Consider the following 26,932-nt stretch of genomic DNA (forward strand, 5'->3'; position numbering starts at 1 on the left):
GAGAGGAGATAAAATTGAATCGTATAAAATGCTCAATTAAAACCAGAAAGTAAAAAAAAAAAATTCACTGGCGATAAGAACAAAAAAGGGTTTAAATCACAGCTTATATTACTCCAAGTATATCAGTAATTACTTAAAAAATCGATGGTCTAAATGCACCAATTCAAAGATGGAGACTGTAAGAGTAAATAGAAAAATAAGAGCCAAATATATTTTGTATACAAATAACTAATTAATTTTAAATATAAAGATTCTAATAGATTAAAATTAAAGAGATGGAGAAATATATACCATGGTAACACTAACCAAAATAAAGTTGAAATTGCTATATTAATTTCAGACAAAAGGGATTTTGCAAAGAAAGAACAATTATTAGAAATAAAAGACATTAAATAATGATAAAGAAGTAAATTGAGCAAAAATAACAATGCTAAAAGTATGTGTACCTAACAATAGAGTCAAAATACATAAGACAAAAAAATGGTATAACTTGCAACTTGAAATAAATATATCTACTATTATAGTTGGAGGCTGCAGTACTGCTCTTTGAATAACTGATATCTCAAGCAGGCAGAGAATCAGAAAAATATTGAATAATAGTATCAACCAACTTGATCTAATTTACACTTATAGATTACTCCATCCAGAGATAGCAAAATACATACTTTCTCAAGCTGATATGGATCTGTCACCAAGATATATCACATTCTGTGTCATAAAACAAACCACAACAAATTTAAAAAATTAGAAATTTAACAAAACATGTCCTCAAACTCCCAATAAAATTAAACCAGAAATCAATAAAGATAGTTGAAAAATTAAACAATAGATTTCTTAATAACGTATAATCAAAAGAAGTCTTAAGAGAAATATGCAGATGTTTTCAACTAATAGAAATGAAGATACAACTTATACAAGTTGTTGAATGCAGCAAAAACAATATCTACAGGAAGATATGTATCATGAAATACATATATGAGAAAAGAAAAATGATCTAACATTGATAATTTTTCAGCTTAGAAAATAAAAGAAATCGAACATTTTTAACTAAAGAAAACAGAAGAAAAAGAATAATATAATTAATCACAATAATCAGATAAATTGAAGGCAGGACATCAATGAAGAATATCAATAAACCAAAATGGGGTTATTTGAAGAAAGCAATAAAACTGATATACTTCTCACCAGCCTAGCCAATAAACAAGAATAATTACCAATATTATAAGTGAAAGAGAGATCATGAATATTGGTCCCATGGGCATTAAAAGAACATAAAGAAATGCTATGAACATGTAAACACACATAAAAACAAATTTGATAACTTACATGAAATAGATTAACTTTCTGAAGGACACAAACAGTACAAATTTACACAAAGAGAAGTAAGTTACCTGACCACTCATGTGTCTAAACAAATAGAATCAATTAACAACCTTCCAAAATAGAAATCACCAGGTCCACATGATTTCACTGCTAAATTACATGAACTATAAGAGGAAGAAATTATACCAATTCTTCACAATCTCTCACAGAAAACAGATGAGGGAAAACTTCCTAACTTACTCTGTAAGACCAACATTACTCTAATACCAAAACTAGGTAAAGACTCACAAAAAGGAAATCAAAGCCCAATATTCTTCACTAATATGGATGCAAAAATTTTAAGCAAAACATTAAGAAATTAAATTCAACAATCTATGAGAAAAATTATATGCCACAATGATGTGAGATTTATTCTGGGTCAGTTATGCAAGGCTGGTTCAGCAGCAGAAAATCAATTAATGTAATCCTCATCAACAGACTGAGGAAGAAAAACACCAATCATGTCAATGGATGCAGAAAGAGAATTTGACAAACTCTACTACTCACACATGGTAAAAACCATGGGCAAACCAGGAATAGAGGAGAACTTCCCCAATTTGAAAAAAAAATATCTACAACAAAACCCATAGAACTAACATTATACTTAATGGTGAGACACTAGACACTTTCTCCTCAGTATCAGGAATAAGGATGTCCTCTCTCACCAGCCTATTCAGTATTGTGCTGGAAGTTCTAGCTGATACAACATGATTAAAAAAAAAATAAAAGGAATGCAATTTGAGAAGAAAAATAATAAAACTCTCTATTTACAGATTATATGATTCTGTAGAGAACCCCGAATAATCAACAAAACAATTCCTGGAACTAATGAGAGAGTGTTGCAGCGTTGCAGGACCCATGGTTAATATACAAATGTCAATTGCTTTTCTTTATATCAGCAATGAACCATCAGAATTGGAAAATTTAAAAAAAAAATGTCATTTACAATAGCATTCCCAGTACCTACATCTAAATATCTAACTAAATATGTACAGAACCTATATGCTGGCAAGTACAAAATACAGATAAAAAATAAGAGAAAATCTAAATAAATGGTACATACACAAAACGAACTAGTATTCAGTGATAAAAATAAGTGAACTACTAAACCATGAGGAGACACAAATGAATCTTATTCCACATTGCTAAATAAAATAAACTAGTCTGAAATAGCTAATACTGTATAATTCTGATTATATGACAGAATTATTATCTGTTGTAGTGCCAGGTAATAATAAAGTTCTAAAAACAAAACAAACAGAAGAACTCCACAATGATCAGATGTCAAAAGAATACAAGAGTCAACTGAAAAAGCTTCAAATGACCACAACAGCGACAATTTGAGTAGCAAAATAAAATTCAATTATTATAACCCGAAGTATAAAATAAATATTCATGAGCTCATACTGTTGTAAATAAACAACTTAATACATTGTGAGAATTTAAAAAATCTCATCTGCAAAAGAATTCCAAAGTCACTATACCCTTCCAACATTTAAGGAATGGGGAGTTACATACATATTATGTAAGGTATAGTGACTTTCATCCAAAAGGTACAGTATAGAATATAAGAATAAAGACAGAAGAGAAAACTGACAAACACTAAGTCAAGTCTGGGGATCAAGGTTAACAACAAAAGTGATAAGTTGTATAAATAATATACATCCTAGATATGATGTGATGAAAATGACACTTGCCTCTGTGGTCTTCCTCCCAAAACCACATTACTGGAGTGGTCTAATTATAAAACATAATAAACAAACAAACAAACAAATAAGTAAGTAAAAGCATATATCAGAGACAATTTTCAATTCAAAGACATTCTACAGAATCTCAGAGCAATAATCTTCAAAGCTTTCAAGGTCACTAAAAACAAGCAACATCTGAGAAAGCATCACACTCAAGAAGAGCTGAAACCAAAATGGCTATTAGACGTAATGTGGTGTTATGGATCGGATCATGGAACAGAGAAAGGACATCAGAGAAAAAATCTGAGGAAATCTGAATAAAGTATGAACTTCAGTTAGTAAGAATTTATTGTTATTACTTTATTCATTGTGACAAATGTAAAATATTAATAAAGAGGAAATTGAGTTTCGGGGTATACAAGAACTCTCTGTACTATCTTCACAATAATTCTGTAACTATCTGAACTGTTCTAAGATAAGTTTATATTTAAAAAATAAAATACAGTCAGTTCAAATGGATTACATTTCTTTCTTATCATCGTTGTTATGTAATTATAACAGCTTTATGGAAAAGAAACACCTCTCAACACTGTTCCTCAACTATTGCTTCCTGTGGTCTTTGGATAAATAGGTAGCATGTCATTTTAATTCTCTGTCAAACACATCTTATTACATGGTCTTGGTTTGCAGAGAAGAAAATGGCTGTGGGCAACATTTTAAGGTTCTTATAGGGTAGGCCTGACAGGTATATTTTAGAAAGTGAGTAACAGAAGGAGACTTTTCAGATCCCCAAAGATGGGACTTTTATTTTGAAAACAAGGACAAGGATATACAAACAAACAGTCTTCCTCCCAGTGAAACAAAATTATGAAGACAAGAACCTTAACTCAGGTTACCCAACTTTTTATTGTGGAGCTTTTTCCTGTTTTTTTTTTTTTTTTTTCTGTTGTTGTTGTTGTTGTTCATTTTTGTCTATACATTATTTGCATTACTTTAAAATGGTATGTACATTACTGTAAAATTGTTCAAAAATGTAGACCAAGTACCCCGTGACATCATAATATTATACCATCATGCTTCCTGAATGAGACAAGTCAATGTTAGAATTGTTAGATTATCAGTCCAATTCAATATACATTTACTGTGTGTTTGCCAAGACATCGGGTGGACAAGGTCAATATGAAAAGTGGAAGATGCATGAGTAAAGGTAGAACAAGATGTGATGTGTGATATGGCCAAAGCCCATACCATACAGGTAAAGAGGAAAGAGGTGGGGTACCTATACACCTCAAATTGCTCCGTTAGACCCAACATATGCCTATTGACCCTTTATGTCATAAAATATATACCAATCGCATAATACATTATGCAGTTTTTTGTTTCTTTGTTTTTGAGATGGAGTCTCGCTCTGTTGCCCAGGCTGGTGTGCACTGGCGGGATCTCGGCTCACTGCATCCTCCGTCTCCTGGGTTCAAGCGATTCTCCTGCCTCAGCCTCCTGAGTAGCTGGGATTACAGGTGCCGACACCATGCTCACCTAATTTTTGTGTTTTTAGTAGAGACGGGGTTTCACCATGTTGGTCAGGCTGGTCTCAAACACTTGACCTTGTGATCCGCCAGCCTTGGCCTCCCAAAGGGCTGGGATTACAGGCATGAGCCACCGCACCTGGCTGCAGTTGTTCTTTTAAAGGGTGATGAATGCTGTCCTGGAACTACATGAATCAATGTCTGCTCTGAGCCTTATTTCAACCCAACTCATGGGACTCCCTGTTAGCCACTGTAGTTCTGAGTCTTCCTAGTCTCCCACTTCTTTCTTCAGATATGCAATGAAGCATTCCTGCTCTGCTTAACTCTATGTTAGCCAAGTGATCTTGCTCATTACATAGACTACATGTTTGTTTCCGTCCATAAAATAGAGAACACTAGTGTCTTCCTTATGAAGTTTATATGAGAATTAAACTTAAATGTGTCTACCACATAGTAAGAGTTCAATAAATTTAGCTATTATGATTATGTGCACCAAGTTTCTTAAATGAATAAATTCTGGGTTATATTTTTCCTCCCAGTTTTTAACATCTAACTAACTAGTACCATTGCTTTCTGGATTTAACTAAAGCAGAGCAATAGATTTTGAAACGAGATATTTGTTCTATTTGAACAGATATTTGTTCTGTTTGAAGAGATATTTGTTCTATTATTTATTCTCCAGATTTTACTCAGCACCTCCTGTGTGGTAGACACTGTTCTGAGATACTGGACACTTTCTCCTCAGCATCAGGAATAAGGATGCCCTCTCTCACTAGCCTATTCAGTATTGTACTGGAAGTTCTAGCTGGTACAATATGATTTAAAAAAAATAAAAGGAATGCAATTTGAAAAGAAAAATAATAAAACTCTCTATTTACAGACTATATGATTATCTACATAGAGAATCCCAAATAATCAACAAAACAATTCCTGGAACTAATGAGAGAGAGTTGCAGTGTTGCAGGACCCATGGTTAATATACAAATGTCAATTGCTTTTATCAGCAATGAACAATCAGAATTTGAAAATTAAAAAAAAAAAAGCCATTTACAATAGCATTCCCAACAAGGACTCTGCCCTCAGGGAGCATTCTTTAAAATGCAAGAGAGACTCCAAGCTAATTTGAGTTTGTTCATATTAAAATATGGTGTCCCTTAGTGGAGTATCAGGTCCGTGAGTACACAACTCATTAGAACACGGGTGCCTTTCGGTGAGATAAATGGAACCTCTTCTTTTCAAGGTGCAGTCCCATGCTAGACACATGGATTCTCCAACATAACTTGCACTGAATGGAAGCCTTTCTAACAATCTCTATTGAATAATTCTGTGCCAAACTCAATGGTTTTAGACTACCCAGTGTGGGGCTGGGGGAATGAAGTAAGCAGTTGGATATACCGGTTTGGTTTCAAGGGCAAGATCAGGACTAGATAAATATACTTAGGAGTTGCTAAAAAAAAATTAAGTCATAGGACCAGATGGATTGAGAGCACAGAATATGCCCAGGAGTACACTCACACGTAGAGGATCTACAGAGGGGGAGGAGGAGGAGACAGAGAGGAAGATCTGGGAAACTGCCAGCAACAAAGAAAGCTAGAAACCAGATACTAGGGTTGATGGAGAAGGTGTGCAATGATGCTGGAACTATGAACCAGAACCAGGTCAGCCAGTCTTATAGGCACGTTGAGGTATTTGAATGCTATAATGGAGGCAGTAAAGGATAATTAAAAATGTAAGCTCCTGAAAGTATCTTATATTCCCTTAGGTTATCTCTGAAAAAATATTTTGGGAGTCAATGGTGCTTGAACATGTACACCCTTGGTAAACTCAGCTTTACAATTACTAAAACGGGTTACACAAAAACATAATAGACAGGAGTCCTCCTTCCTTCTAGAAAACAGAGATTTGGAGGGATATAGGCTCAAGGGTTGGAGTTCGTCTTCATTGTGAAGTCCACAAGCACAGATAAATGGCAGAGCCATCCCACGATGGGGAGAAACAGTATGGTAACTATGAGCTACAGTGCTTGAGAGAAACCTGAGAGTCAAAAACTACATAGATCACAGGATAGAAAAGCTAATAGTAGCAAAAACAGATCAAAACAAGTGAAAAAATCCAAAGTCAGGAAATGCATTGTATAAAAGGGAGAGCAAGTTGTCAATTAGGAAGTAAAACTTGGGACAAAAACTATGAATAGAAGCCATGCCATAAATAGCTATCGAATGTTGACCAAGTTGCTTCACCTCTCTATCCATTAGTTTTCTCCTCTGTAAAATGTGAAGAATGACTACACCTTACTCATAAGGCTTCTGTGAGGTGTACATGGAATCATGCACATAAAGTACCTAAGAAGATGGTCTGGCACTCAGCAGGTGCACAGAACATGCTAGCTCTTATTATATTTTATAGTTGTTACTTCTGTAGACCTGCTGGTGCATGGTATGGAGAGCTAATTAAATCAGAGAGAATGAGGAATGGGAAAGAATAATTTTAGGCTGGCTGAAAGAGGAAGGTTGAAACCACATTTTAATCCATATGTGTGCATAAACATGCACGTGAGAAACAGAGAAGCACTCCATCACTAAAGCTCCTGGGTTGCTTGTAGATTGCCAGCAGAATCATTTCTCCCTTCCCTAAGAGACTTTCCATGCACAGACGAGCAGTTCTTCATTTATAGAATCAGGCATTAAGTTAGAACATTCAGAGAGTAAGACAAAATCGTCTTCCCTTCCAAACAAAACTGTGCTAATAAACAGGTGCAGAGAGAGTATACACAATACATTCCTCCAAGCAGTCTTTCATGTGCTCAAACTGTCCGCCCTTTCTGTATTTGTTTATGGTGTGTTAACTGTAACTTTGCTTGTTTCTCCCCAGATGTTTGGACATCCATTAATTAGCACATCCTCTACAACATATTTGTGGATGCTTTTCACCAAGTGAAAGGAAAAGCTGGATTCCAGCTGCAAAGAAACTGCAATTAAGAAAACACATACACCACATGCACACACACAAAACAAGATCTCTCTTTAGGACAGCTTCAGAGCAAGACAGGAAGACGGGAAAACATGTGAATACTGAAGAGCAGTGATCCGATGGGGCTCTGGCCTAGCTTAAACATTTGTAAACTCACATCATCAACAAACATGTAGCTAGCCTGTGAGTCCAATGTCAAATTAATGCAGGAAAAAAGAATCTTGCCAGAGTGAAAAAAGAAGGCCTTTACTCTCTAAAATAAGATGCCTCAAAATTAATTCTTTTTCTGGACCTCTCTTTTACTATTTTATTCCTGGTTAAGGAACCATCCAGGTAACTGGTGAATTCAGTGCAAAAAAGGCAATGCTGATTTCTAAATAAACAAATAGACCATTTGGTTAAGAGCGTGTTAAGCTGCATCAGTTTTGTTACTCTGGCACACCTGTCTGAAAAGTACAGAGTAAAAGGTAAAAGGAGAATTGGTTGCCTTTCTGTAGTGACATGCCCAGTCTCCCACCCCATCTCTCACATCTTTCCTGGAAAGCTGTTCTGCCATGGTAGTCACGTTTCCTCCTATTAAATATGATGCCATCGATTCCTTTATGAAACAATGGTGCCAATCTCCCTTGGCTTCTGGAAATCATATACAATTTTCATTTGTCACATTCCACTCACCTCCTTGGAGCCTGCATCGTTTTCTTAAATTTTTTAATATCAAGTCTCCCTTCCTCTAGCCCATGGCACTGCCCTTTTTAATGGCAAAGATGCAAGAGCATGCAAAAATCCAACGGGAAATCTCTCATCTAGCCCAGGAATATGTCCCTCTGGAAAATTAGTAATCTCTATAAAATCTCATTCCCAAATTCCAACAGCTAATTGTGAATTTTGAATTGGTCATTTCACATTTAGCCAAAGTCACAATCTAAGACTGTGATTGACAAACGTTACTTCAGTTTTCATAGGAATTATTTATCCTCATTTTAACATTTTACCTCTGGTTGTATTTCTTAGAAGGAAGCCAGCCAAATGCCCATTGAATCTTAGTAAGATCCATTGTGTATTGACGGTTACAAAGAACTATAATAAAACAAACACCAGGAATAGCTATTTTTTGTGACTGTTTGCAAGTGAAACAGGAGCATGGGGAAATAAGTAATGGTGCTAAGTATATAATCGCTTCCAAATCTCTGCAATAGTAGTGCAAATTTGGTATTATTATTTCCATGAAACAATAAGGAAGCTGAGATTCGGAGAGATTAAGTAACTTCTTCAGAGTCAGAGACCTAGGAATGATATTTGTAGAGCTCTTAGCAGTAGTTCAAAACGTGGGCTTGTGAATCCAAAAATGCCAGGTCGAGTCTTGACTCAAGAAAGAGCAATGGAAGTGGGGGAGACTGGGGCATCAGGCTAAGATGATAGCTCCATTGCACAGCATTATATTCACACAGCAGAGCCCAATGGAGGTGGGTACATACAGAAGGAAGAGGCATGCAGATGTGGTGACTTCAGAGGACCAACCAGACCTGAGGTTCAGAATCCAAGCAGAGAAAGAATAATTATACAGGATTCAACTGTATCAAGCTTCAGCCCTGAAACTTATTTAACAAATGTGAGTCAGCTGCCCCCATTGCTGTGGGTATAGGGTAAACACTAAATCAAGAGCTGAAGAGACAAAGTTGGGAATCTGGCAAGATTGTGATATAAAACTGGGCAGACTCGATAACTCTATTGGGTAGGTCAAAATGACCAATTGCCCATTTCACATATATATTCATCTTAACACATATGTGCACACACACACACCCACCTTATAAGGTAGGCATTATTTTCCCCATGTGATCAACAGGAAAGCAGACAGGCATAAGTATAATTTGCTGCAGTTACAGACCTCAGGAGGGGCATGACTCAGATTTGAAACTAGATATGGCTGACTTCAAATCCCATATCCTTTGCCATGCTGTTAATTAGAGATTACGGTCAATCAGATGATTGTTCACTTGAGGCAAGTGTCAAGAATCAGAAAGACTGAATAGAAGTACAAACAAAGGATATAAGCAAAGAAAATTAAAAAAAAATCCCATGGCCAAGAAGCTATAAAAATATAGTCAACATTACTAATCACCAGGAAAGTAAAACTAAAGCATTAGTGAGACACTATTCCTCACAAGGTTGTCAAAAATTATAGATGTTTGATAACATCAAGTTTTGATAAGAGTATGAGAATGTGGATAATCTTGTACACTGCTCATAGGAGTATCAATTTACACAGCTGTTTTGGTGGGCAATTTGGCAATATCCTTTAAAATTTAAATAATCTTAATTTATCAACTTCACTCTTTGGTATATGTCCAAGAAGTATTTGTTCACAAAGATGTACACATACACACCGCAATATTTATACAAGGATGCTGACCGCAGCCTTGTCTGTAATCACAAAAAATTCAAAATCAATCAAAATGTCCAAATAGAGGAAATAAATACAAATTATAGTTGAGTACACTCCTATAGCTTAAAATTGAGTTAGATTAATGTGCACTGGTGTGGGAAATATATATTGTTAAAAAGATATATTATCAAATTCAAAAAAATATTAAGCTCTATATGACACTATAATGCTAGACACATATCATTACGTATTTGTCCTATCCTGCAGAATGTAAAACACCAAGAGTGAACCCTAACGTAAACTATGTACTTTGGATGATAATGATGTGTCAGTGTAGATTAATTAATTGTAATAATGTATTATTCTGGGGAGGGATGTTGATTATGGGGGAAGCCATGCACGTGGGAAGGCAGGGGCATATGAAAACTCGCTGTGCCTTTCTCTCATTAATTGTAGTACTGGAAGTCCTTGCCAGAGCAATCAGGCAAGATAAAGAAATAAAAGGCATCCACATGAGAAAAGAGGAAGTCAAATTGTGCCTCTTTGCAGATGACATGCTCTTATATTCAGAAAGATTAAAAGACTCCACCAAAAAACTCTTCGAGCTGATAAATTCAGTAAAGATGCAGGATACAAAATCAATGCATGAAATCAGTAGCATTTCTATACATCAGTAATAAAACACTTGAAAAAGAAATCAAGGAGTTATTCCCATTTCTAGTGGCTACAAAAATACCTAGGAATAAATTTCACTGAGGAGGGGAAAGATCTTCGCAAGGAAAACCAGAAAACATTGATGAAAGAAATTGAAGAGGACACAAGTGGAAAGACAACTCATGCTCTTCAACAGAAGACTCAATATCATATAATGACCACACTGCCCAAAACAGTTACTGCAATGAATCATCTGAGAACCAAGGGTAAAAGACAAGGAGGACAGCTAGCAGTCCCCAACACCTTGCCCCAGGCCAAAGGTGTTCCTGATATCAGGTTGGAAACCCAGCTGTGACAGAATTGTGCTTTTGGAACTGTTTATCCATTTCATTCCTTTCTATTGCCCTGGTGGCAGTGGTGGCAGTGGAGGCAAGGTGATCTTGACCTCAAAGAATACATCAAAGTTATTCTAGAAAAATCAATTGATACCAGCAGAAAACAACCATACATGTTTTGCAGTCACATCACTCTTCAGAATTACCCCAGGACCTGAGAGACCAGGAAAAAGGGGCCAAACAGATGGCTCCAGCTTGGTGTCCCTATAAAAGATGTATTGAGAAAGAGTGTTTGGATTAAAGAGAAACCACAAACCATAGTTTCACAGTCCCTTGCAATTATACTCTTGGGCATAGAGCATAGAATGATGCTTCCAATTCTCGTTGGCATTATGAGCAAGGGTAACCTATGTCCTGGCCCCTTCTTGGTTCCTGAAGAACTGAGGAACAGACTAAACAAGAGATAGACCGTCCTCACACACAGCCAGGAAAAGAGTGTTGTCCCTAGTGGAGACAAGAGAAGGAACAGATCCTGCTTTCTGTCTTTCCTATACATGGGGGGACAAAGTTGCATGGTGAGAGGAGCAACTCTCAAAAGACTCACTAATGAAACCAAACAGTTCTGTTTATCAGAAAAAGAAATAAACATACACAAACAAATGGGACTGTGAACTTCTCCCTCTGATGATTCTGAGATGGGGGAATCCCCAAGCTAGCATAGAGCATGCCTCCAAAGCTCCCTGTGGTTAAACGTGCCAGCTGTAACTAGCCATGGAGCAGAGTAGCACCCCACAACACCCCCTCATAGACAAAGCCAATTACCTCAAAATGATGGAAAATGATTAGGCATGTGAATTAAAAAATAATTTTCATTCACACTCCTAAAAGGGTCAGACTGTCAGCTGTCTGGAAAATTGAGCCTTCATGCATTTTCGTTTGATTTTATATTCAAAGTCTAATTAGTCACAATTTGTAGTTAAAAGTGATTTTTTTGATAATGTAGTTGTTTTTGATCGTGTTTGGCTGCATTATCATGGCAGCGTTATCCTTAATACTGTCACAGGGTGGTGTTTTTTACTCATCTGAGCTAATGAAATAACAAGCTGATGCTTTCTCAAGTGCTGCTGATCAAATCCAGAAAGATCACAAGATGCTTGCGATAGAATGGAGGAGACAACTGTTTCCATGTCTGGATTACATGCTTTTCATGTTAAAAGCAAGCAAACCAACAAACAACGCTTAGGCTATAGGGTCAGAGAAACCTGTGTTCAATCTAAGCTCCATCACTGTGTAACCGTGGGTGACTCACGTTTCCTCTCAGATCATAAGATTCCCCCAATGTAAACATGGAGATAACACTATCTCATGTGTTGTCGGTAAAAATAAACAAGTGTCAAATGCCTAGCAGAGTGCCTGGCCTTCAGGAGGCTGTCAACAGATGTTAGTGAAGAGAAGCTCATTTGTGAGATAATGAATTTATTTTTTCTTAACTTAGGTACGATCTAAATGATAGTATCAAAAATAGCCTATACTTAGAGCTTTAAAATGTAGAGAATTCTTTTATATATTACATTGCTCAAACCTCCTGGTAGTTGATGATACATGTCATCCTGGAGAAATGAAATGAAGTGACTTGTTCAAAATTACACAAGGAGTGAATGGTAAAGCCAGGCCACACATCCTAAATGTTTGCACTAAACTGTTTTTTAAAGAGATGTTAGCACTCTCTGCAATACACAAGTCCTCCACAGAGTGTTGGTTGCCCATGGTAACGGGCCATAGGCAAAAAGCACAATCCACTTTAGTAGTCACTGGTGTTTTCTCTGTTCTGTTGGGAGATCTGAAACCAAACCTCTTTATGTCCGATGAGGGTTTGGAGCAAAGGCCTCAATGCCAATACCCACCCACTAAAACTGGAATAATCTATAAGTCAGTTTATATATCATCCAGTCCTGGTCTTCACAGCCTTAGGAGGAATTTTAATCTATTATTACCTTTTAACTCTGAACTGTTCTCATCCACGCTCTGAGAGAACAGGAGAAATGAATGGAATTCTGCATCTACTGTTAACGTATTGTGGTCATGCTTCACATATACTGATGTGATTGATTATCTTAGGTAAGTGCATGCATTGTCACTTAAAGCAAACTTAAAAAAGTAAAGGTGAATAAAAGCACAGTTTTGATTTGACACAAAAGACAAAATGTCTTAATAGTTCCTGTAAACAGGGAAAGTCCACTCAGTGATGCCAGTCAGAGGAGAAACCACTTAGAAAAGCAACAGTCTGGTGGATTAAAAAACCTTTTTGTCAAATGTAAAGGTCACTGAGGCAGTAAACACCTTAAAAGGAAGACAACAAATTTCACGCATGAGAAGCTCAGCCTAAAACAAGACACATTGACCATATGAATGGATAATCCTATCTAAGTGGAAATGGACTCAGAGACATCATTTGGAGACTTAATGACATTAAAAAAAAAAAAAAAGCCAACATTGGAGAGAACAGGCAAGTTCATGACTCCCCTAGATGCCACACACAGACAAGTGTCCTTGGTAATCTCAGAAAGTTCAGTAAAATCTTCTAGATGACCTGGTCTGAGGCTGTGAGCTAAACCTTGTGGTTTCTAGTTGCACATCATTCTGGTAAAAGGTCCACAAGCCAGAAGCTTCCCTCAGTCACACAGAAAACCCATTCCCTCTCCTTCCTTAATGGGAAATATCAATTCTGGGACAAGTCTTCCTTCAGGATGGGCTCATCTGCCCCATCTGCCCCCATTGGTGGAGTTAAGCAGAACAGATTGCTGGTGCTCAGGGTTAACTAATAACCATCATTGAGTGTGTGCCATGCAGGCCAACACAATAATCTTTTGGAGGAACTTGCTTTTCCATCAATTTACTCTCCCAATGCATTCCCCAGTGTGGCAAGTAATCAAGACCATCTGTATATGGTAATCTTGTAGGTGGAGAAGGGAATAGAGGTTCAGAAGGGAAATCCACCAAAAATGCCACATTGCTGATACAGGTTCCCAAGGCTCAATTTCCCTCTCTTGTGCTGTTACAACAGGACCATCATAATCTAACTTTGGAAGTTTCCTACTCAGAGGAGTATGCTCCAAAACTCAGCCAAGTTTTCCACTTCCAACTGGGACATATATTTTGGACCTACTCTCTTTCACACCTTTTCTGGGGATGCGTACTCCAGTATCTACATCATTGAATTGGATTAAATCCAAGCTGCCTTCAATAATGGAGGGGACTTTCCATGCTGCTACATATGGTTGTGCAGATTTACATGGCAAAAAAATGGTTGTGCACTGCTTCAGTTCCCCAGCAAATATCTTTGGATTAAAATATCAAGTCATCTGGATTAAAACAAGCTGGATTCTAGGATTTCACTGCCCTTCTCATGTTGTGAGCAGATTTGTCTTTGCTGGGGCACTTAAAGCTGGAATCTATAAGATAGTTACGTTACTTGTTAAGGTTATTTGGTTGTAAGCAACAGGGAAAGTCTCTGGTTATAACTTATGACAAAAGAAACTTACTGGAATGGGAACAGGTAATTCTCAGAACTGAAAGCCTACTTAACCAGAAAATAAAAGGGGACAGGAATCAAGGCGGGCCCAGGGTCGAGATAGAAGGAGCTATTTGATAAGTATTAAAAGAACTCCATTCTTTCTAACCAGTGGTTACTCTCCTCAGTGAGAGCACCCAGTTAGCCTGGCTTAGATCACATGAGTCTTCCTTGACTGGTGTTGGGCAGAGAACCCTGATTTGATGTCCCACCAACACTACACACAAGAGGGAAAGCAAGTTCCCCCAAAGAGATGAGAGTGGGCTGACACCAAGCAAAAGGAGTGAAGGCTAGACAGCCAAAAGCAGCAAGTGTCCACAATGACCCCCAGACTGTTCTTTTCCAAAAAAAGCATTTAGTACTCAGCATCTGTTACACAGAGCTCTGTTTAAGGAGCAATGAGGAGACAAGTTCAGAACACTGTCTCTAAATTTGCTAAATAAAGGAAAAACACGTGCAAGATATATACCTCCACATCTATCCCAATTTGTAAGAAGGTTTTTAAAAAGCATGGCGGAGTAAATCATTTTCAAACTTTGATATGGAAAGTTTAATTAGTAGTAAATTACTTGTAACATATCTCATAAGTCCACAGCTATAGAGCTTTGACCTAGAGAATCTGTGGTCCTAAAAGTTATTTTCAAAATCCATTCTATGCAGTCCCTCACTGGAGAGAGAGACTTTTTAAAGCAGAGGAGTGCTTTTTATCCACTTGTCACTTCCAGGGAAGTTTTCAGTTGAATCTAATATTTTCTGGCAAAACAAATGTATGAACCATTGCTCTTAAAGTTCAGAGTTAAGGTTCTCCGAGGTAGAAAGCTTCATAGAGAAAGGGACTTAGAGAGAAATGTGTTTGATTTAAATGAGGTTAGTGCCAAGGAGCGAGCTTTAGAAATGGAGAATGCTATGCAAAGGAGCAGAGGTGAACACATGCATGACTTGGTAGAGAATAGCAAAAAGCACAAACCTGACGGGGAGGGGAGCAGAACTACAACCTCTGCGCATCTGGAAAAGACAACAGCAAAAGCAACTTGCTGGTTGGGTTGCTGTAAGGATTAGATGAGATCACGTCTGTAATGCCCTTAGTGTGCGAACAGAGTGAATGGCACTTTAAAGAAAGTGTTCAATGAATGCCAGCTATGTGTTGATTACGTTAGGCTCTGGAACAGATGATGAATGCAGGGCTTGGGAAAATGCTATATCAAGGGCCTCTGCAGGGCCAGTGGGGCAGGCACTGGCCCTGTTGTTGCTGGGAAGGTTACCTGCTTCGGAAGGCACTCATGCTATGGGACTGGCAATAAGGATGTGAGAGTAAATCAGTCAAAATGAACGGGACTTGATGACAACATGGTAGGACAGACTCTAACCTCAAAATAAAAATAAAAATTTGAATTTAAATCTAAGGGAACCACGTTGAAGGAAATTTGTTACATGGGTGATGGAAATGTTTTGAAGCTAACATAGGACTTGAAGCAATCTAAAATCTAGTGACAGGCAGGTAGCAAGTGCCACCCCTGGCTGAAGGGAAAGGGAGAAGATGTATTCCAGAGTCCAGCAGCTGGGATCACTGAGCCTAGGGTTTGTCAGGAGGAAAGTGAAGCCCCTGAGGAGTTCAAGAAGAGGTGGTCACTGCTGAGTTGCTTTCCCCAGAGAGCAGGGGCCACAATCCCCTGGCTTCCTTCTTCCCTACTCCAGGCTCCCAGAAGTCCCTCCCCATGGCTATCTCAGCCTGAAAGGCCAAAATAATGCAAGCGTGTAGAAGGAAGGTCAGGAAAAACGTAGGAATGGATCTCAGGGCAGGCCAAGGACAAAACAGATTCTGAAGAAAGTATCAATTGAAATAGATGACTCTCTAGAACTGTTCCAAGATAAACTTAGGCACATTAAAATTTTAATGAGTTTTTTGAGCATTCGTAAATTCACCAATCAGGCAGGACTCCATTGTAGGCAGTTCAGCACTCCATGGGGGGATATGGTGTGCAGAGGTAGAGAAGAAACCATTTATAAGATATTTACAGAAGCAAGGGCAAGGCTAGGCTTTGATTGGTTAGAGTGGAAAGTCCCTTACTTAGAAGTAAGTTAGTGGTTTCTGATTGGCTCTGCGTAAGTTTCATTTAACTGTTTACAATAGGCTTGTTTGCCTACCCAAGGCATTGGAGCCCTCTAGGCCCAATGTCCTCTTTTCTGTTTTTTGTTTGTTTTTGTTTTGTTTTGAGACAGAGTCTCACTTGGTCACCCAGACTGGAGTGCGGTGGTGCGATCTCAGCTCACCTCAACCTCCACCTCCCAGGCTCAAGTGATTCTCCTGCCTCAGCCTCCCGAGTAGCTGGGATTAAAAGCACACACCACTACCACCTGGCTAATTTTTTGTATTTTTAGTAGAGACAGGGTTTCAACATGTTGGTCAGGCTGCTCTCAAACTCCTGTCCTCAAATGATCCACCCGCCTCAGCCTCCCAAAATGCTTGGATTACAGGCATGAGCCACTGCGCCCAGCCCCAGTGTCCTTTTAATTAATTTTTTTAACAAAACAACTAGAAAGAGAAATAGGCAAGCTCAGCTTAACTCTTGTTTTAGACAAAGATGACTCAAGCCAGGTATTTTGCTTTGATGAGGAGGAGAAGGAGTTGTGGGGCCAAGGGAGATAAATGGCTGGAGGGAAGGGGGCCTCTTCCAAGGAATGTCTCTTGTACTGGGACTGTGATACCATCTCCTAGGATCCTGCTGGGAGGTGAGTGGGATATAACCCGCCATGGGTCTCTATGGATCTGTGTGTGTGTGTGTGTGTGTATGTGTGTGTGTGAATTTGGTCTGCCTTAGTTGGAAGATTCTTTCTTTAAACATTAATGTCACTGGCTAGGCACAGTGGCTCATGCCCCTAATTCCAGTATTTTGGGAGGCCAAGGCAGGCAGATCACTTGAGGCCAGGAGTTTGAGACCAGCCTGGCCAACATGGTGAAACCCCATCTCTACTAAAAATGCAAAAAATTTGCCATGCATAGGGGTGCACGCTTGTAATCCCAGCTGCTTGTGTGGCTGAGTCAGGAGAATCGCTTGAGCCTGGGAGGCAGAGGTTGCGGTGAGCCGAGATCGTGCCACTGCACTACAGCCTGGACGACAGAGTGAGACTCCCATCTCAAACAAACAAACAAACAACACCTTAATGTCACTGATTAACCTGCTGCTGGGGGTTCTTCTGCTTACAGCTTCTGTCTCTTACTTAACCTTGATCTTTATAAGTCAAACACTCGAGGTAAGCTTGCCTTACTATGACTCTTGTGAATGCCATGTTACCTTATTGATTCCAACAGGAAATTTGAAAAAAGTAAACACTTTAGGGCAGAAAGATAATAAAAGGAAAAAAAGATGGTTAGAACTACCACAAATGAATTTATTTTAAGTGTTTCTTTTTTTTTTTTTTCAGTAAGTCTTTAGAGGACATACCAGGACAACTAATATTAATTTCCCTTACTTAGTTTTATTTTGTAATTGAGCTGACCATTCATTGGATTGCATTTGACTGTTGATTTGGTGTGTTATGACTCCGTGGCCATAACTAGAAAGCTTATCATCCTCGGTTAGTGTATAAAGAGCTGGCAGCAGGAGCACCACTGGCTGTCTCATTTCTCAGGTATGATGTATCTTTGCCAGTCTTATGACTTTCACAGCTTTGGGTGAATAATACATCTGTGTTCATATATCCTGTGATCACATTTCCTAACCCTAAGGAAATATTGGTAGAGGACCTCCATCTCCTTTATACTTGTAGCTAGAGTTTACTAAAGAAAGAGCATGAACCAAAATAATAATTTATGAATAATATAGTGAGTAATGTAGCAGAGATAAGAGAAAAGCAATGTGTATAGAGGGGGCTGATTCATATTCAGATCTGTGTGTGTTCTTTTGTGGATCTACAAGGGCAATCTGGGACAAGGATATCATTTCAACTAGTTTTTTACCCCAAGGGGAAAGGGTACGTGTTTCCTTAGCTCTGGGGTTGAGTTAAACAATGTTGTATGTTCATTTTAGCCACTTCAGTGCCTACAAATTATGATTGAGTGTCTGTCTTCAAGCTGGCCTGGGTCCATATTAATAATGGGAAAATTCTTCTCAACCTTCTCCAAACCACAGGTCTCAAAATTAGGCTGCAGGTCTTTTTAGGAACAAATCCATCTCAATGACATTTATATGCATGTTTATGTGTGTGGGTGTTTGTGGGTATGATTACATATATTCTCAAAAAGTATAAAATAGCTTTGGCAATAACCTTACATTTGCTACATCTACTTCAATTAAAATTAGGGAATAGTGTGTCCCAGGAAAAAGAAGCAAACTCACCTTCACTGCCAGTTTAACATTTAGATCATCTTCCAAGTCACCTTCTGACATCACAGTGCTCAAAAGGCTTTCTTTTCTGCTGCATGAATTGTTTTCCTTCCAGCCTCTCTCAGCTTGGTTACTGACACTTCCTTCTAGTTGCTTTAACTCCACTTCGTATTGCAACCTGTAGCGCAGAAGAGCATCCAGATGCCCCTTCATTTCCCCTACTCAACAATAACAAAAAAACAACTTGCAACTGAATTAAGGAAGCAAAACAAAAACAATTCTGGCAGACAATAAGTGGACCAAAGCAACTCAATATTTCATCCTCATGTTCTGTTTGAAGAGTTTCATGAGAATCTTGTTTATAATCCCATTGAAAATAAAGTGCTCAAAAATAAAAGCTGTTTCATTTTTTCAAGCTCACTCTCCTTTGTTCATGGTACACTAATGGAACAATTTTTAAATAATGACTTAATTTTTTTTTCCTTGTGAAAGATGCTTTCTGCAATCAAAAGCGGGTTCTTTATTTTTGAGCTTGGCACTCACATTCATTAGGACTAGTTGCATCCAAGTAGTAGAGGCTTATCTGTTCAGCTGGAAATGGGACATTAACATTTTAAGAGGATGATGCAGAAGCTTTTAGAGATAATATTCTCCCTGCCCTATTCTGTTGATGCTGTCTTAGAAAATGCAACATATTTTTTCCCTAAGCAATGATGAGTTCATAAAAAACAGGTTATTACAAAAGACATAATTTTTTTTGCAATCCTCCATCACTTCAAAAAATCAAAATTTGGGTTACAAATAGAAAGTTTACCAAAAGGAGAGAAAGCCCAAACTAAGCACCCATCAAGTCCAAATCAACAATGAATATATCTCTCTGTAAACATCCACCACAGTATAACAGTAACATTGCACGGTCCTAGCAGGCAGGCAACTGTAGTGGCTAAGTCTCACCCTTTCTCATTTTCTTTTTTTCCTTTTTTGTTTCTCCTCTTGTTGAAGGGATTTCTCTCTCCTCTGGCCTCCTCAAAAATTTCCTCCCTCAATTTCCCCCACTGTCTCCTGCTTCATCACTTTCTTCCAGTCTGCCTTCTGGCTTACTCTCATTAGCAAACAAGCTCCACTATCTCAGTGTAACTAACCTTCCATTTCCCCATCCAAACTATAGCCTTATATCCCTCATTTTTAATAGTCAGACTTCTCTGGTGTTGTTTATGCATGCTGTCTCCAATTCCTCCTTTCCCATGCTCTTCAATCCATTCTCATCTGACTTCTGTCCCTACCACTCCATAAAACCTTTCCTGGCCACGCTCACCAAAGATCTCTGTTTTGGCAAATGTACAATTATTTATCCTTTTTAAATTTTATTCCCTCTCTTAGCAGGACCCAATAAAACCAACCATTCTTCCCCGTTGGTGAGAGGGACAAAATCCCCCTCCACTGGAAGGCAGAAGACAACGGACTTCCTAACAATGTCCATTGTTTTGCTTTTTATCCAACTCTACCTGCCGTCAAGGTCCAGACTGTAACACAGCAAATGTAGCTCAGTCCTCATCTGCACGCACTTATATTTTAAAAAAGATAAGGAGAAACTGACCAGAGTTTATTCTGTTAGAATTTCCATGAGAATCTCCCAGTTCAAAGGTGACTTTGGGCCAGCACTATGTTGGAATCCTGGTGGTTACCTTTTGAGTATCACAAGGAAAAACAATGCATTCAACTTATTTCTGTACCCCTGGTCTTTTACTCATATTTCATATACTGAAAAACTAATGAAAACTCAAAGCAAATTTTATCCTTGAAAAATATCTTTGATTCTTCGGTTTTTACCCCTGTAGAGGCTCTTCTGAAGGCTATTCCAGGAATGAATTCTGGTCACTTATCTTAGGCCAGTTGCTCTGTTTCTTTGCTAATTTTATGGATTTAAGTTAATCTGTTAATGAAACAGATGGGGACATGGGTGCTTGAAAGAACTATGCAGTTAGCTATGAAGAATAAACTAATTTATTAACTCTTAGCAGGGAACCATCTGAAGACTTAATTGAGATTTGTCTTTAGAACTCAGAGCTGTTGTTTCACTAGGTTATGTTTTCATGGTGTGCTAATTGTCCTCTAGGGAATCTATTCTTTGTCACTTTTTTTCTTTGCTGTCTGTCAGTGTTCTCTATCCACTCTCCTCTCACTTACAGCTCAACAGTTTAGCCTGCCTGATGTTTCCACTTGTCATCTATCTGCCCATCAACCTATGTATTTCTGTCCTGCAGAGCACTGGGAATTGCAGGCACTTTGACAACAGAGCCAAATTAGCATCAACAGTAACCACAAGGAAGTCCAAGTGACTTCCTTGGAATCAGCCATTTGCTACCCTCAGAAGGAGTCACAAGGAGGCCCATCAAGCAGTGAATGGTACTGCTATGTCTCTCAAAACTAGGGTGTAGGGAGATCCGAGGAATTCTTACCCTGGGACATATATGAAAACTAGCATTTCATTGCAAGAAGTTTTAATTTTCCTGTGGCCACTGCCTAAGGGGATTTTAAAGCACTGCCGGGTACTGCAGACATCTGCTTTTGATGGATTGCCAGTAGCATTTCCCACTCTAAGAGTCCTCAGTACAACACAGCCAGCTGTGTAGTCTATTTAACCACAGTGTGAAAACTTTCAGCCTTGAAACTACCAGCAGGTAGGTCAATGGGTGCCTAGCTTCATTAGTTAACGCAACTTTCTATGAATTTATTCAGTGTCCATTGATAAGTATTAACAGGGGTCTGGGTGCAGGGAATATTGCTGAAGGTCCCCAAACCTACTCAGTTCCACCCATGATTATCAGAGAAGAGCCCTGCACACTGAATAACTCCACCCTTCCCCACCAGTCATCAAGACAGATGTGCATGCTTACAGACTAATTCCACACTTTCTCCACCCCTGGCCCTCATCCATGGAGATCTAGAAGGTATCCCAGAATGTAAACTTGCCTGCCCCCAATATTCACTATCACATACTTAAAGTCCACTAGGAATTAATCTCATGTTGCCCCTTATTCTAGTTTATATTGTAAGAAACTCCCAAATTACAGGTCATCTTCAGCCCTCTTAGTTCAATCCCCGAAAGGCTTTGCATGTCACATCCTCTATTCCCTGCATCCACAACCCCCTGGCTTCTAAAACCTTTCACTTCACCCCCTAGAATTCCCAGCCCATTGGCAACATAATCTCCTATATTTTTGAACTCCTGGGCTCAAGTGATCCTCCCGCCTCGGCCTCCCAAATTGCTGGGATTACAGGCATGAGGCCACCGCACCCAGCCCACGTCCTATATTCCCAAACTTTTCTCTGAATTTCCCTTTCGACTTCTCACTGTCACTGAAACTGGAGTCCCCCTGAGAGCTGCTTTCCCTGCAGCCCTCTCAAGTGGTAGCGGGCAGTGAAGAGGGCATCTTCCTTGGTCCTCACTTCCTCTTCAGACTTTTCTCCCTCTGTGTTTCCCTTCCAGCCCTAAAACCTCCAACTTTGAATCGCTTGACATCAGATTATATAAAGAACATCTGCTCCTTGTTTCAGTTATTCTTGACTCCTGTGTGCTCCCTTAATATTTTCCCTCCAGCTTGTGTCCGGCCCTCCACACAACTCTTACTCATTGATTTTTTTTTCCTACACATGTAAAGACATTCTCCACACTCAGAATTCAATTCCTTGAGCTTTTTCCCTCACTGGTTTTGTTCTTCACTCTACCTCAGCCTCTACTTTTAGGCTCATAATATTGACCCCATCACTACCAAGAGCCATAGCCCATCCACAGTCATAGTTCTATGCACCACCACTTCCTTTCTTTCCCAATAGTTATTTCAGGTGGCTAAACTCCAATTAAATCTTTTTTTTAAGACAGAATCTCACTCTGTCTCCCAGGCTGGAGTGCAGTGGTGTGATCTCAACTCACTGCAACCTCCGCCTCCCATGTTCAATCAATTCTTCTGCCTCAGCCTCCCAAGCAGCTGGGACTACAGGCACCCACCACCACACCTGACTAATTGTTGTATTTTTAATAAAGACAGGGTTTCACCATGTTGGCAAGGCTGGTCTCGAATTCCTAACCTCAGGCGATCTGCCCACCTCAGCCTCCCAAATTGCTGAGATTACAGGCATGAATGCACCGCGCCCAGCCATCCAATAAAATCTTGACAACACCTTTGCACTTTCTCTTCCCAGTGGTCTCTTCCCTTCTTCCCAGTTTAAATTCCATTGTCCTTCATTATAATCACTCCTTAAATATACCCTCATTTCCCTCGCTTATCTTGACCTTCACAGCATACAACTGGCAAAACCAGAACCCTAATTAAACCCAGCTCTCAGCCTACTTCCTGCTTGCATCCTGGCTGTAGAACACGGCCGTAGAATGACTTACAAATGTACTGTCCTGCATCATTTTATGTAGTCAGGAGACTACATTGGGCTCTTGCTTATATCCAGGAATCTCATGCCAAATCCTCGATCCCATCACTCACTCTCCAGGAGAACACTTTCATACTTTTTCCCTTTTCTTCCAACTTCTAACATCTTTTCCCTAACTCTTCCTTTCAGTTTATAATTAAACAATCATTAGAGAACTTCTTCACCATTGTATTTGTTCACTCTTTAACATTTGTACTTGACCTCCCACCTCTTACAGCAAATTCATATAAGTTTAAATAATTTAAAATTGAATAATAAATAGCAGCAAAATTATTTGAAGGATTTGCCTGTACTCGGTGTCTAATTCCTCTCCTCCAATTACTTGTTAAGTGTCTTAAATTCAGCGATGTATATGCTCTTGCCAGTCCACCAAAATCATATTTGTCAAGGTTGTCAATTACCTTTACATTATTCAAACCAATGGTCAATTCTCAGCCAATTTTACTTGACTTGTCATCAGCATTTAGGGCAGTTGATCATTCCCTTCTAATTCAAACACATTTTTTCCCCTTTCACTTTGCTTCCAAGACACTATGCTTTCTTGATTTTCTTCCCATTACACTGGCCATTTCTCAGCAGCCTTGGCTAATACCTCCCCTTTTCTCCAGTCTCTTAATTTCAGGATGATATTCCAGGGCTCCAATCTTGCTCCTCTTTCTTATCTACCCTCACTCCCTTGGTGCTCCATACAGTCTCTTTACTTTAAACATCATGCACATGTCAAGGACTCTGAAGCTTATATTTCCAGTGTGAGCCTCTCTCTTAGACTTGAGACTCCTGTGGCCACCTTTCCATGTCTCCGTTAAGATATCCAAGACAAACCTCAAACCTAACATGTACTCCCCATCTTCTCTCACCCTAATCTCCTGCTGCATCCCAATCTCCTCATCTCAGTTAGCCCTCTTTAGGCCGAAGTCCTTGCAGCCCTCTTTGATTATTTCCTTTCTCTCATATCCCATATCCACGCTATTATTCAAACATGTCCTGCAAATTTCCACATCAGAGTAATGACTCTTCTGGTTCACTCTGCTTAGAAAGCATAGAAGTGCTCCTCTACTGCAAAACGTCACCTTCTTAGTGATCTCCCCCTTATAAACTGAATGGCATCCCTTCTAACACTCACTATATCCTTCTCTGCTCTACTTTTCTCTCCATTTATTTATCAAGCATGTATAAAGAATACATTCTTATAAATGAGATTACAGTGTTAACTCATTTAAGTTTCATAACAATGCTATGAGATTATTGTCACCCCTACTCTACAGAGAAGACAATAAAGGCACAGAGAGGTTAAAATCTGCCCAAGGTCACGCAGTTGGCAGGAGACAGAGCTGACATTAAATCAAAGAGTCTGGCTCCAGAGTCTACACCCAGCTGCTATACCAGCCTATCTTTCCAAAGTACTTCTGGTCTCTGGCATTATATTTATATATTCTATATATAATATAGATATAGGCCGGGCACAGTGGCTCATGCCTGTAATCCCAACACTTTGGGAGGTCAAGGTGGGTGGATCACCTGAGGTCAGGAATTTGAGACCAGACTGGCCAACATGGTGAAATCCTGTCTCTATTAAAAATACAAAAATTAGCCAGGCGTGGTGGCGGGTGCCTGTAATCCCAGCTACTTGAGAGGCTAAGGCAGGAGAATCACTTGAACCTGGGAGGCGGAGCTTGCAGTAAGCTGAGATTGCACCACTGCACTCCAGCCTGGGCAACAAGAGCGAGCCTCCGTCTCAAAAAATAAATAATAATATACATATATATGTGTGTGTGTGTGTGTGTGTGTGTGTGTGTGTGTATGTGTATATATATATAACTATTATACATTATATAACCATTACATATACAATTAGATGGCTCTCTGCTGGTGTAGTTACCCATTCATTCATGGAAGAGATATTTACTAAGCTGACACTAGGTACTAGATGCTGTTCTGAGTTCTAGAAGTACAGCAGTGACAAAAACATTAAAACATTCCTGCCCTAATGGAGCTAACATTCTACAGGAGGGAGAGAGACAATGAACAAATGAATGGAGATATATATATATATATAAAAATATTTTTATAAATGTACATATTATATAAATTACATTTTATATAATATATAAAATATATAAATATAAAACTATAAAATATATTTTTATAAAATATAAATAGGCATTATATCTATAACATACATATACATATTAATATATATGAATATAAAATTACATAACATTTATTTTTATAAAATAAATTTATATTTTATGTTTATATTTATCTCTCTCTTCCTCTAGAATATTCTATTAGGGCAGGAATCCTTTAATGTTTTTGTCAACGCTTTATTTCCAGAACCCAGAACAGCCTCTAGTATCTACTGTCAGCTGAATAAATATTTCTTTTATGAATAAATGGGTGATTACACTAGCAGAGAGCAATGTAATTCCAAAGCGAACAGAACATTCACTCAGGAGACCTATGTAGCACAGGGCATTCTGAGAAAATGGGCTGCCATTAGAGTTTTCTAATTGACTTTATTATTAAAACTCTTTTAAAAAAATTGGGAACAACGTGCATGTCAGTAAGTGGCCAATATATCATGTATTCAATCTAATGGTTGCTGAAGGTTTTAGCAAAAGTGTAAGTTTCAGTTCCCTAGGAGTAGGACATCAGAGTTAGAAATCAGATGAGAGGCTGGATGGGAATAGGAAAAGGTAGGAGAATCCTTAACGGAAATAAGGGTAGTTAGTGGCAAGCCTGATGAGTCAGATTGTTTGGCACTGCCAGTGAGAAGCAGAGTGACTTCTCAAACCAATCATTCACCCTCTCCAATTCTTACTTTCTTTGTCTGAAACATGAATGTAATAGTACCTATCACATAGATTTGAAGAAAGTGTTAATTTAGTGGATGGGATAAAGCTATCAGAACAGTACCTGGGAAGTCACAAATACTCAACAAATCAGAGCAATTAATATTCATCACACACCTGGTACTCCAGTGAGGTAGATACTATTATCCCCTTTCTTCAAGTGAGAGAACTGAACCTCAGAGAACTCAGGTAATTTGCTCACTTGACCTGTGAGTGACAGAGCTGGAATTCACATCTCAGTTGACCCAACTCCTCATCTACCATATTACACACTTGTCCCTTGGTGTACATTCTGGAATAGAATCTTAACAATATTAATAATGCAATCTCTCATGTGTTTGGAAATTACATGTGCTAAGGCTTGTTCTGAAGGCTTTACATGTATTACCTCATTTAAACTTCACAGCAACTTCACAGTGAAGTAGACCCTAACATCACCCCACTTTTACAAATGGGGAAACATAGGCACAGAGACAGCAACGCACGGCCAAAGTTACATAGCTAACATGGGGCAAAGTCGGGGTGGAACACAGGCAGTGTATCGCCAAACCCTCACCCCATAGCCCAAGGAACTACCGGAAGGTAACTCCTCGATAAAGAATAATGATTCCAACTTCAAGTTTTCCTGCTCCTAAAGTTTAGCAATAACTAAACCTTGATTTTCCCATTTTTGAATCCAATTGTCAATATAGACTCAACTCCATAATTAGCAGTAATAATAGTAATAACATCTTGTCCTGTGCTGAAAAATCTGACACTGACTAAAGCAGCAAATCTAAATAATTGATATTAATTACATGAGGTTTTTAGGAATAAT

General features: G+C 38.7%; 1 long non-coding RNA gene across 1 annotated transcript in view; it reads right to left on the reverse strand.

Annotated features, from left to right (window-relative positions):
- The window catches only part of LOC102724465 (uncharacterized), a 379,687-nt gene that overhangs the window by 12,551 nt on the left and 340,204 nt on the right, over window positions 1-26,932 (reverse strand). The window contains exon 12 of the long non-coding RNA NR_187944.1: window positions 18,830-18,995. This is a non-coding gene — a long non-coding RNA (uncharacterized LOC102724465). The remainder of the gene's footprint in view (window positions 1-18,829; window positions 18,996-26,932) is intronic.

The sequence above is a fragment of the Homo sapiens genome, chromosome 15, assembly GCF_000001405.40.
Source record: "Homo sapiens chromosome 15, GRCh38.p14 Primary Assembly".
NCBI classification, from domain to species: Eukaryota; Metazoa; Chordata; class Mammalia; order Primates; family Hominidae; genus Homo; species Homo sapiens.